The sequence below is a fragment of the Homo sapiens genome, chromosome 7 (genome assembly GCF_000001405.40).
Source record: "Homo sapiens chromosome 7, GRCh38.p14 Primary Assembly".
In the NCBI taxonomy this organism is placed as follows: domain Eukaryota; kingdom Metazoa; phylum Chordata; class Mammalia; order Primates; family Hominidae; genus Homo; species Homo sapiens.
In genome coordinates this window covers 140,571,655-140,585,050 of record NC_000007.14, presented here as the reverse complement: position 1 = coordinate 140,585,050, position 13,396 = coordinate 140,571,655, and the positions used below count along the sequence as shown (strand labels likewise).

The 13,396-nt window shown below is 45.6% G+C and overlaps 1 protein-coding gene across 5 annotated transcripts in view; it reads left to right on the top strand.

The window, feature by feature from the left end:
• DENND2A (DENN domain containing 2A) overlaps nt 1-13,396 on the top strand; it is a 123,042-nt gene that overhangs the window by 56,410 nt on the left and 53,236 nt on the right. For all 5 annotated transcript variants that reach the window (NR_134477.1, NM_001318052.2, NM_015689.5 and 2 more), the window contains one exon: nt 11,043-11,243. Coding sequence is in view for 4 of the 5 variants with exons in the window: in NM_001318052.2 (NP_001304981.1) it covers nt 11,043-11,243 (201 nt within the window). In the remaining variant the exon portion in view is untranslated. The remainder of the gene's footprint in view (nt 1-11,042; nt 11,244-13,396) is intronic.

The following is a 13,396-nucleotide window of genomic DNA, read 5'->3' as shown; positions in this document are numbered from 1 at the left end:
ATTTTTGTATTTTTTGTAGAGACGGGGTTTCACCATGTTGGCCATGCTAATCTTGAACTCCTAGGCTCAAGTGATCCAGCTGCCTTGGCCTCCCAAAGTGCTGGGATTACAGGCATGAGCCACCGCACCCAGCCTGTGGGTTTTTTAATGAAAGAATATACATACATGTAAACTCGCACATGTCTATATGTGGGTTTTTTTAAATGAAATAACATGCATATATATAAAGATGAAAGAATATACATATATGTAAACTTACACATGTATGTGTAAGAATATCTCCATCCCCAATGTTGGAGGTGAAAAAAAAATCTCTGTGCGGATACCCAAGCATGAGTAACTGAGGACCTCAGAGGAGTTGTCCTGTCTGAATGCCCAGAGGGCAGGGGGAAGGCTGACCTTCTTTTTACAGAATATCCTTTTGAACTTTCTGGAGTTACATACCATATGCACATAGATAATATAACCTTATTGATATAGATGGTAATTTCAACCCATTGCCTGCAGGACTAGCATTTGTAACAGATATCTTGGCACCCATTACCCCTAATCTCCCATAGATCCTACATACAAATGCCCCTTCCATCCAGAGCCTACCAACTACCCCTCTGATGCAGGCCTGGGACATGCGCACTCTCTCTAAAGGGCCATAGAGTAAATATTTGGGGCTGTGTGGGCCATATGGTCTCTGTTGTAACTACTGAGAGTGGCCACTGTAGTGTGAGGCAGTCATAGACAATGCGTAAATAAATGAGTGTGGCTGTATTTCAATCAACCTTTGTTGTTGTTGTTTTTTGTTTTTGTTTTTTGAGACGGAGTCTTGCTCTGTCTCCCAGGCTGGAGTGCAGTGGCACAGTCTCGGCTCAATGCAAGCTCCACCTCCCGGGTTCAAGCAATTCTCCTGCCTTAGCCTCCCAAGTAGCTGGGATTACAGGCATGCGCCTCCACGCCTGGCTAATTTTTGTACTTTTAGTAGAGATGGGGTTTCACCATGTTGGCCAGGCTGGTCTCAAACTCCTGACCTCAAGTGATCCGCCCGCCTTGGCCTCCCAAAGTGCTAGGATTACAGGCGTGAGCCACCGCACCTGACCTGAATGCTGAAATTTGACTTTTTTTTTTTTTTTCGAGACGGAGTCTTGCTCTGTCGCCCAGGCTGGAGTGCAGTGGCACGATCTTGGCTCACTGCAAGCTCCACCTCCCAGGTTTACGCCATTCTCCGGCCTCAGCCTCCCGAGTAGCTGGGACTACAGGCGCCCGCCACCACGCCTGGCTAATTTTTTGTATTTTTAGTAGAGACGGGGTTTCACCATTCACAGGATGGTCTCGATCTCCTGACCTTGTGATCTGCCCGCCTTGGCCTCCCAAAGTGCTGGGGTTGCAGGCGTGAGCCACCGCGCCCGGCGAAATTTGACTTTTATATGATTGTCACTTGTCATGAAATATTTATTTTTCCAACCATTTAAAAATGTAAAAGTTAATTCTTAAGTCATGGCTTGTACAAAAACAGGTGGTGGGCCAGATGTGGCCCACAGGTGCCAACCAGCGAGGTCATTTTTAACTCTGCCCTTGGCTCTTACCGGGACCTCTCCCCATCCTCTGAGGCCCAGTTCAATCATGCGTCCTTTAAGAAGCGTCTCCAGCCATCCCAATCCCTGGGACTTCTTTCTCTCTGATTATCTGTAACACTCAGTTAAACCATTTCTTTTTTTGTTATTTTTGTTTGCTTGTTTGTTTGTTTGTTTGAGACAGAGTCTCGTACTGTCGCCCAGGCTGGAGTGAAGTGGCCCGATCTCGGCTCACTGCAAGCTCCACCTCCCGGGTTCACGCCATTCTCCTGCCTCAGCCTCCCAGGTAGCTGGGACTACAGCCTCCCGAGTAGCTGGGCCATCACCATGGCCGGCTAATTTTTTGTATTTTTTTTTTAGTAGAGATGGGGTTTCACCGTGTTAGCCAGGATGGTCTCGATCTCCTGACCTCATGATCTACCCGCCTCAGCCTCCCAAAGTGTTGAGATTACAGGCGTGAGCCACCATGCCCAGCCTTAATATATCTTAAAAACATCTCCCCAACTAGATTATAAATTCCTCAAGGTCAAAAGGTTTATATTCTAAACCTAAGTTAAAAGAAAGAAAGAAAGAAAAATGTATATATTCTATTTCTTTGGTTTTCCTGGAAGGCCTAACAGTTCTACAATATTTAGTGGAAGAAATTAAGGAAGGCCAAGTACCAGCTGCAAAGGTCAACTTAAATCTCATGGCAAGGCTCTGTTTCCAGCCTAGGAAAAGCAGTGGTCTTCCTGTCCCAGCCCCACAGGGTCAGCATCGCTGGCAGGTGGGGCTGTCTCCACCTGAAGCCTGTCTCCTGTGCTTGATGGCCATAAAGGGATGCTGCCTGCCACCAGGCTTCTGGAAGAGGTGAGGGAACAACCTATCCCAAAGGATGGATCTTACAGACCCAGATAAATTGCTACAATACTTGCCTGCACCAGTTAACTGTCATTTCTCTTCTCATATGGAAAAGGGTGTCATCAAGAATAATCCATGGCAACTGACAATTAGCAAATGCTCTCTGCTTGCCTTGGAAATGTGTTGTTGGTGTTTTCATTGGAATAGGGATGTCTTCAACATTTAGGAAATCCTTCATTTCCCATGGCAGAGAAGCCTGACTTAGAAGAAGAAAGCAAGCTGTCACACCTGGTCTGTCCCCTCTGGGTCCTACCTGGCTCCCCACTTCATGCGGGGAGTGAACTGCCTCACCCCTGAGGAACAATGAAAAACATCTGCCCAGGCCAAGCGCGGTGGCTCCTGCCTGTAATCCTAGCACTTTGGGAGGCCAAGGCGGGTGGATCACCTGAGGTCAGGAGTTTGAGACCAGCCTGGCCAACATGGTGAAACCCCATCTCTACTAAAAATACAAAAATTAGCCAGGTGTGGTGGCGGGTGCCTGTAATCCCAGCTACTCGGGAGGCAGAGGCAGGAGAATCACTTGAACCTGGGGGGCAGAGGTTGCAGTAAGCCAAGATCATGCCACTTCACTCCAGCCTGGGTAAAAGAGTGAAACTCTGTCTCAAAAAAAAAAAAACATCTGCCCAAGGCAGCTCTGCATTCAGGGCAGAACGCTCCTCCCTGATACCAGGAAATAAAGGCTTACCAACCCTTTTCTTCTTGTCACTGCTGGGCTGGAGAAAACCTAGAGCCTCTGCCACCAAAGCAGCTAAGCCCAGTAGGTGAGAATGTCAACAAGAACTTAACGTCCAGCTGTATCTGTATCTGTAGCTGTCCTGAACAAAGAGAATCCAGTTGTCCAGAGCACGTGTCTGATTGCCACGGATCCTTGCAAGCCCTCAGCGGGACACGGTGTCCGTGCTCATTATTCTGCTCATCCACATCTGGGTGTCTGCTGTGTGCCCTGTTCTAGGGGACAGCTGGAGACTTCACCACTTCCTCCATTAGCTCATCAAATATTCATGGAGTATCTACCGCATCTGGGCTGCATCTGGGACCCTAAAGCTTGCAGGAGCAGTCCCTCCATGTGACCTCCCCCACCAGCTGCGGAGAGATCCTCAGCCATCTTTGGGATGTTCATTTCATTAGGCCACAGCTAGTTATTCGGGTCACTAGAATTTCCATTCGAGAGGGAAGGGCCTGTTGGATAGGCTCTCCTCAGAAAGGACCAATGTGTAGCTGCGGGCAGATGCTGCTGCTGCTGAACGCAAACTGCAAGCTCCTGAAAGGGACTGTTTTCTTTTCTTGCTACGCATCACCCACCGTTTCTTTTCTTTTCTTTTGAGACAGAATCTTGCTCTGTCAGCCAGGCTGGAGTGCAGTGGCTCGATCTTGGCTCACTGCAACCTCCACCTCCTGGGTTCAAGTGATTCTCATGCCCCACCCTCTGACTAGCTGAGATTACAGGCACAGGCCACTGTGCCGGCTAATTTTTTGGGTATTTTTAGTAAAGACAGGGTTTCACCATGTTGGCCAGGCTGGTTTCGAACTCCTGACCTCAAGTGATCCACCCACCTCAGCCTCCCAAAGTGCTGGGATTACAGGCATAAGCCACCGCACCTGGCCTATACTTTTGAATATATGTTCTTTTTAAAAATAACAAGCTGGGTGGCCGGGCACAGTGGCTCACACCTGTAATCCCAGCACTTTGGGAGGCCAAGGTGGGCAGATCACCTGAGGTCAGGAGTTCGAGATCAGCCTGGCCAACATGGTGAAACCCCGTCTCTACTAAAAATGCAAAAATTAGCCAGGTGTAGTGGCACTCGCCTGTAGTCCCAGCTACTTGGGAGGCTGAGGCAGGAGAATCTCTTGAACCTGGGAGGCGGAGGTTTCAGTGAGCTGAGATTGCACCACTACACTCCAGCCTGGGCAACAGAATGAGACTCCATCTCAAAAATAAATAAATAATAATAATAGTAAAATAACAGGCTGGGTGCAGTGGTCCATGCCTGTAATCCTAGCACTTTGGGAAGCCAAGGTGGGAGGATTGCTTGAGGCCAGGCATTCAAGACCAGCCTGGTCAACATAGTAAGACCCCATCTCTATAAAAAATTTAAAAATTAGATAGGCATGGTGGTGCATGCCTGTAGTCCTAACTACTCGGGATGCTGACATGGGAGATTCACTTGAACCCAGGAGTCCAAGGCTGCAGTGAGCTATTTTTGTGCCACAGCTCTCCAGAGTGAGAGCCTGTCTCCAAAAATAAATAAATACATACATACATGCATACATGCATACATACATGCATACATACATGCCTTTCTTTTTTTTCTGAAAACATTGTAATTGTAAAGTTTTTCTGGTTACATGATAAAGAATAAGTGTTTCAATTACTGCAAAGTTTAATGAAGAAAAAAACTCGTCCACAATTGGGGAATTTTACTTTTCTTTATGCCTCTATTTTCTAATATTTCTGTAATAGATTTACATTTTTTTTTGAGATGGAGTTTCCCTCTTGTTGCCCAGGCTGGAGTGCAGTGGCATGATCTCAGCTCACTGCAACCTCTGTCTCAGTTTCCCAAGTAGCTGGGACTATGGGCGTCCACCACCATGCCCAGCTAATTTTTTTGTATTTTTAGTAGAGACGGGGTTTCATCATTTTGGCCAGGCTGGTCTTGAACTCCTGACCTCAGGTGATCCACCCACCTTTGCCTCCCAAAGTGCTTGGATTACAGGCGTGAGCCACCTCGCCTGGCCCAGATTGACATCTTGTATATGTGTATTTATGTGTGTGTATTTTAAAGATCTTCTTAAAACGTGCATGTAACCCCAACACTCACTGCTAACACTTTGGTTTATTTCCTCCCGGATTTTCTCACACACATCTCGTGTGGTGTGCGTCCATGTGTTTGTGTGCATGTGTGTATACATTTTTTTAAAAGATTTGTGATCTTGGGAGGTCGAGGCAGGCGAATCAACTGAGGTCAGGAGTTTGTAACCAGCCTGGCAAACATGGCAAAACCTCGTCTCTACTGAAAATACAAAAATTAGCCGGGTGCAGTGGTGTGCGCCTGTAATCCCAGCTACTTGGGAGGCTGAGGCAGGAGAATTGCTTGAATCTGGGAGGCGGAGGTTGCAGTGAGCTGAGATCCCACCATTGCACTCCAGCCTGGGTGACAGAGAGAGACTTCGTCTCAAAAAAAAAAAAGAAAAGATTTGTCATTATATTGTATATGCAGTTTTGATGCTTTTTTATATTGATCGTATTTTCCCATGTCATCAATTTCTTTTTATTATTATTATTATTATTATTTTGAGACAGAGTCTCGCTCTGTCGCCAGTCTGGAGTGCAGTGGCACAATCGTGACTTACTGCAACCTCCGCCTCCGGGATTCAAGCAATTCTCCTGCCTCAGCCTCTCGAGTAGCTGGGACTACAGGCGTGCGCCACCATGCCCAGCTAATTTTTGTATTTTTAGTAGAGATGGGGTTTCACCATGTTGGCCAGATGGTCTCGATCTCTTGACCTTGTGATCCGCCCAACGTGGCCTCCCAAAGTGCTGGAATTACAGGCATGAGCCACCGCTCCAGGCCATGAGCCACCGCATCTAGCCTAATTTATTTTTAGAAACAGTTTTTATTGCCTGCACGGTATCCCATTATCTTCATAGAATGTCATTAGTCCCCATTGTTAGAATGCCCTTGTAAGCCTTTCTATTTTTATTTTATTTTATGAGACGAAGTCTCACGCTGTCGCCCAGGCTAGAGTGCAGTGGCATGATCTCAGCTCACTGCAACCTCTGCCTCCTGGGTTCAAGCGATTCTCCTGTCTCAGCCTCCTGAGTAGCGCAGGTGCCCACTACCACACCCAGCTAATTTTTGTATTTTTAGTAGAGACGGGGTTTCGCCGTGTTGGCCAGGCTGGTCTCGAACTCCTAACCTCAAGTGATCCACCCGCCTCAGCCTCCCAAAGTGCTGGGATTACAGGCGTGAGCCACTGCACCTGGCCCTTGTATGCCTTTCTCTGTATATATATTTAGAGAAGTGTCTCTTTTTTCATGCAAGAATGTGTGTACCTACAGGCACATATGAGCAAATATGTATGTTTGTGTGAATGACAGACAGCACAGGAGGTCTCCTAAGAGTAGGAATGATGTTGAGATGGGTGAGGGGGATGGGGATAGTTTATATCAAGGATCCCTGTAGTCTCCCACAGGCAGAGTCTCCTGAGGCAGTAAAGTCAGGGGCAGTAGAGGACTGGAAGGAATTGAGCCACCAGCCACCGTTCACAGACAAGAAGGGTTAATGAACCTGGGCTCGAATCCAGCTTGGCCCCCTCTGATGGGGCACACAGCTTCCTTGCCACTGCACCCCCCACCCCGCCCAGGATGTCCCCTGGCCACTCTCCTGAAACAACTGAAGAGGCTTCAGCAGGGAGGTTGGACCTCAGACCATCAGGGTTCTTGTCTCTTTTCCCTTTTGGACACTACAGATCTTTTGCTGTGCCATCATGAGTCGGAGATCTATACAATTAGGGGTGTCTGGGAGCCTCTCAGCAGAGCTAAGCCCCTGAGGTTACTCCAGAGGGACACAATGGGATTTAGGTGCCATACATGTTGGTGTAAGGTCCTCTGATCAAAAGCTAGAATCTTCTCTGGACCACAGTCTGACACATCGTTCTTAGGATCCTAGAGTGACTTCCCTTTTATGCCATAGTTCTGGGTGTGACAAGCAACTGCTGGTTCCCTGATGTTATGAATAAAGTTCTATGGAAACACAGCCAGGTGCATTCATTTACGTATTATCTACAGCTGCTTTTATACTACAAGGACACAGTTTAGTAGTTTTAACAGAGAGGATATGGCCCACAAAGCCTTAAGTACAATCTGGCTTTTTAGAAAAGGTTTGCTGGCTGGGCGCGGTGGATCACGCCTATAATCCCAGCACTTTGGGAGGCCACAGTAGGCAGATCACCTAAGGTCAGGAGTTTGAGACCAGCCTGGCCAATATGGCAAAACCCCGTCTCTACTAAAAATACAAAAATTAGCCAGGCGTGGTGGCACTCGCCTGTAATCCCAGCTACTCGGGAGGCTGAGGCAGGAGAATCACTTGAACCCGCGAGGTGGAGGTTGCAGTTAGCCGAGATTGTGCCACTGCACTCCAGCCTGGGCAACAGAGCGAGACTCCATCTCAAAAAAAAAAAAAAAAGAAAAAGTTTTCTGATCCCTAAGTCCAAGATTCATATCCTCACTTTCAAAGGCCTTCAATAGACAATTAGATGTCTTCATTGCTGTATCATCTCTTCCATCTGTTTCACTGTGCTTACTCTAAGGCTTGAAGACTCTTTTGATCTAATTTACTCTCCCTCACCACTATTCTCAGATAGTACTGTGTCATTGCTAATACTCTCACCCACAGCTAAGTCTTCCCATTCTATCAAATAAATATCTACTGAAATCCCACCGCATCATGAAAGCTCCCTGAACATTTGGTGGCTTATTTGGGGTGCCCTGGAACACATCAGGATCCCCTTTCTCCAGCAGGGTGACCACTCAGAGATGCAGCCCACACATTCTTCAGAAAGCTGTGTGTTGTGTTTCCATTCCTTCTCTGGTTTCTTTCTTCTCTGACCTTTTCATAGGTCATATCTCCTTTGAATGAACACCATCACAATCTACATCTCTAACAAAAGCAGAACCTACGTTTTCCCAACAGTTTGACAGGAGATTCCAGTGCAATGGTAGGAGCATTTCCTTGGATTTTATTGTAGATGGAATTTGGCCTCAAAGAAGGCTTGCCCCTCTTCCTTCTTTTTGTGCTCTTATGGTGCCCAATCCAGGTCAGCTCTTCCTCTACTGAAAGTTTATGGCACTAAGCAATTTATTGCTCCTTGGAGACCTGTGATAAAACATTGGAGCTGGCCACTTAGGAAACTAGGAGTCTTTATTTTTGGAAATCTTTTTAAAAAGAAAAGATTCTGAAGTTATTGCTACTTACTATTTGGAACTAAGCAAATAGCGAATGGAGAAATCAATGGAGCAAAATATGCCTATTCTGTGAGAGTTTAAGATAGGATAAATGTGGCCTCATAAGTTGATAAAGAAAAGCTCTTTCATTAAATAGAACAAGGATAAGTTATTTTGGGGGAAAATGGTTTAGATGAACATATCACAAAATAAATTACCGATGGAATAATAAATAAAATGTGTACAAAACCAAGAAAATCTGGAAGAAAATGGAATTGAATATTTATTGAACATCTAAAAGGAGATAGTTTTTTTAGGCAAAGAAAGAAGAGATTAAATGAATTACAAAAGAAAAGATTAACACATTTTCATATAAAAAGTTATTATAACTAAAATAAAAATACAAGTAAATCACATGGGAAAAGCACACTTACAGCAAACCTGACAAATAGTTAATATCTGTTCTATGTAGAGCTCATTGAAAATAGTAAAAACATTAGAATCCTAAAAGATAAACAAAGAACATAAAAAATACACTAAAGAAAAATACAGTTGGCGCATTGAAGTATGAAAAAATGTCAATGATGTAAAAATAATTATATATATATATATATCTGAAAGAACCTTCCATATCAGTACATTAAGTTTTTTGTTTATTTATTTATTTTTTTTTGAGATAGAGTCTTGCTCTGTTGCCTAGGCGGGGGTGCAGTTGTGTGATCTCAGCTCACTGCAACCTCTACCTCCTGGCTTCAAGCAATTATCCTGTCTCAGCCTCCCGAGTAGCTGAGACTACAGGTGCATGCCACCACGTCAGGCTAATTTTTGTATTTTTAATAGAGACTGGGGTTTCACCATATTGGTCAGGCTGGTCTCGAACTCCTGACCTCAGGTGATCCACCCACCTCAGCCTCCCAAAGTGCTGGGATTATAGGCGTGAGCCACCGTGCCCGGCAAGTACATTAAGATTTTTTAAATAATTGCATGGTATTCCACTGTGTGGGTATATCATAATTTGTTTGACCAGCCCCTCTATTGATGGATATCTAGGTTATTTCCAGTATTTTGTGATTACAAACCATGTGGCAATGTACAATATCCTTTGCACAATATGTTTCCTTGTAAAAAATAACATTGCACAAATAAGAGTATATCAGCAGAGTAAATTCCTAGAGGTGGAATTGCGGGGTCTGAAGCTATATGCATCATAATTTTGTTAGCTCACACTAGACTGCCCTCCGTAGAGCTGTGCCAAGTGATGCTCCCACCAACCCTGTATGACAGTGTGGGAGTGACTTTTCTCCCTCACTTTCACCAACAGAGTGAGCTATCAAATTTTCTTATCTCTGAGCAAAAAAATGTTTCTTTAATGGAGCTTTAATTTTCTTTTCTCTTGGGAATGAAGCTAAGAATCTTTTTATATATCTAAGAATCATTGTATTTCTTTTTCTCTAAATTTTCCATTATTTTGCCTGCTTTTCTTTTGAGTCATTAGTCTTTTTCTCATTAATTTGTAGCGTATTTTGGGAAAATGAGTTAATTTCTGTGAGTTATCGTCTATGGGTTCTAAATTTTTTTAGCAAGTATTTTGTTTGCCTTTTGACTTTGTTTTTTGTTTTGTTTTGAGACAGTCTCACTCCATCACCCAGGCTGGAGTGCAGTGGCGTGATCTCAGCTCACTGCAACATCCGCCTCCAGGGTTCAGGCGATTCTCCTGCCTCAGCCTCCCGAGTAGCTGGGATTACAGGCACCCGCCACCACGCCTGGCTAATTTTTTTGTATTTTTAGTAGAGACGGGGTTTCACCATGTTGGCCAGGCTGGTCTCAAACTCCTGACCTCAAGTGATCCTCCTCAGCCTCCCAAAGTGCTGGGATTATGGCATGAGCAACCACACCTGGCCAGCCTTTTGACTTTGAAGAGGCCTGTTTTAGAAATAAGATATTGAGGGCCAAAGAAACACAATTCCTTGTATAAAAGGCACTCAGCAATCCTGCAGCAAGGCCAAAGTGAGGCTTAGGCCTTGTAACCCCTAGTCCATGTGTCTTGGGTTGTCAGAAAGCCTCAGCTGTAACGTCTTGGGATTGAGGCAGGTGACCTCGCACTTGTCTAAAAAGAGAAACCGGGCCAGGTGTGGTGGCTCATGCCTGTAATCCTAGCACTTTGGGAGGCTGAGGCAGGCGGATTGCCTGAGCTTAAGAGTTCGAGACCAGCCTGGGCAACACGGTGAAACCTCGTCTCTACTAAAATACGAAAAATTAGCTGGGCGTGGCAGTGTGTGCTTGCAGTCCCAGCTACTCGAGAGGCTCAGGGAGGAGACTTGCTTGAACCCAGGAGGCGGAGGTCACAGTGAACAGAGATCGCGCCATTCCACTCCAGCCCGGGTGACAGAGTAAGATTCCATCTCAAAAAAAAGAAACTGAATTAGATTTACATCGCTCATCACACACAGTTTTGGTAATTGGATGATATGTATTCATTGAACACTTACTGGCATAACCAAACTCCACCTAACCTGGGAACATAGACCAGTTCCTCTTCTCAATTTCATTGTCTCGTCCCTGGCACCACCAGTTATCCCCCGGTCAGTCTCCTTTGAATTCATTTACTCTTCTTTTCTCCTTTTCCTTCACAGCAGTCATTGTCCAAACCTGCTTTTTTCCGACAAAATTCAGAGAGGAGGAACTTCAAGCTGCTGGACACTAGGAAGCTGAGTCGGGATGGAACTGGGTCCCCTTCCAAAATCAGCCCTCCCTCCACTCCCAGCAGCCCTGATGACATTTTCTTTAACCTTGGAGACCCACAGAACGGCAGGAAGAAGAGAAAGATACCCAAGGTAATGGTGGCAACAAGCTTCATGCTCAGGTATGCATGACCCCTTCTCTGTGAAAGAAGACTGCAGAGGGGTCTGGGTGGAGAATACATCACTGGCCCCTCTCCCACCTGTGTTGCTGCAGGCCAGGGGGACACAGTGAAGCCAGCAGGCTGGAATATCCGGACCTTCGTCCTGATCATTTTTGTGGTCCTGTGGTCTTCCTCTTAGCCACTCTTCTCCCAATCTTAGCTGCTTGTCTAATCCCAGACAAGGTTTTAATGCCTATCCTCAAAAAGCCACAGCTCCTTCCTTCACCGCCACAAAAAACAGAACTCCATCCATCATGCTCTGACCTGAGACGGTCGACACCCGCTGCAGAGGCAGGTCCCAGTCTGTGCTCTGAGACAGCCTTGTCAACAATACCTCTTGTGGCTCTTTGCAGCCAAAAAGGTAAAATATTCCCAGGGGCTTGGAAATATACATTCTATATGCATCCGTTGTTGGTTACATTTCCTTTTGCTCAATTTCAGTGCTGCAGTTCTGGTCTCTCTTCATTGACCAATTTGGTACTGTAGGGTAGGCAGAATTTCTCCTCTACCCTCTTAGGGTCTCCAGCTGAGCCTTAGATTTAAACTGACGTAAAACAGATTAACAGGAGAAATGCATACTCATTTTATTTACAAGTACGTGGGAGCCCTCAAAAGAAAAATGTAAGACCCAAAGAAGTGACTGGGCCTATGTGCTTATATACTAGGCTGAAGAAAGAGCGGCAATTGTGGAAAAGTAACCAGGAAGATAGGGGTTAAACAAGGTTTGTTTGATTAGATTTCTCTTGGCCTCAACTCCCCATCGCTGCTGATAATGTTTCTTCCCTCCTGTTATAAGGAGGGCCTCTTTTACATGGAGTTTCATCTCCTGTTTTAAGAAGAAAAGGGAAGGTCAGAGCGCCCTTTGTGCACCTGCTGTTTTTAGAGTGTCTTTAGTTAAAAACAACTAATATGCCAAAGTGGCATATTTTGGGGAGTTACATCCTGAACTCCTTCAAGATCAACTTCTTTTTTTTTTTTTTTTTTTTTTGACAGAGTTTCACTCTGTTGCCCAAGCTGGAGTACAGTGGTGTGATCTCGGCTTACTGCAACTTCCGCCTCCTGGGTTCAAGCGATTCTCCTGCCTCAGCCTCCCGAGTAGCTGGGACTACAGTCACCACACCCAGCTAATTTTTGTATTATTAGTAGAGACGGGGTTTCACCATATTGACCAGGCTGGTCTCGAACTGCTGACCGCGTGATCCGCCTGCCTCAGCCTCCCAAAGTGCTGGGATTACAGGCATGAGCCACCGTGCCCAGCCAGGAACTTGGAGAGCAGGGATTCTTAATTTCAGAGTTCATGGATGGGCTTTAGGGGGTCATGAAACCCATAAAAATGTAAAACTTTATGCAGATAAGTTTCGGTGTGGGACACTGTCTGTAGCTTTCAAGGGACTTCTCTGAGTGACCCATTGACCTGAAAGAAAGTCCAGGGAGGCTGGGCACAGTGGCTCACACCTGTAATCCCAGCACTTTGGGAGGCCAAGATAGGAGGATCACTTTAGCCCAGGAGTTCAAGACCAGCCTGGGCAACATGGTGGAACCCCATCTCTACAAAAAAAATTTAAAATTAGCCAGGCATGGTGGTGTGCACTTGTAGTCCCAGCTACATGTGAGGCTGAGGTGAGAGAGAATCACTTGAGCCCAGGAGTTAGAGGCTGCAGTGAGCTATGATCATGCCACTGCACTCCAGCCTAAGTGACAGAGCGAGATGCTGCCTCTAAAAATAAAAGAGAGACAGAGAGAGAGAGAGAGAGAGAGATGGTTCTGCTGAAGTCCACTTAGGGAATGCACCTTTAAGTAGTGGTGCCTACTGAGTGACTCACCTTGGCAGCACTAGGAGAGGTTATGAAAGGACTTGGCAAGTCTGAGGACAGCTAAGAACTGTCATCCTAGAACCTAGAAAGTTAGACTGTTGGAAATATCTCAGGTAAGTGGAATCACACAGAATCGTCCTTTGTGAATGACATTTCACTTTGCTTAGTGTCTTCAAGGTTTAAGCATGTGTCAGCATTTTCTTCTTTTTTAAGACTAAATGGTATTCCATCGTATGTATATACCACATTTTGTAAATCCATCTATCCGTCC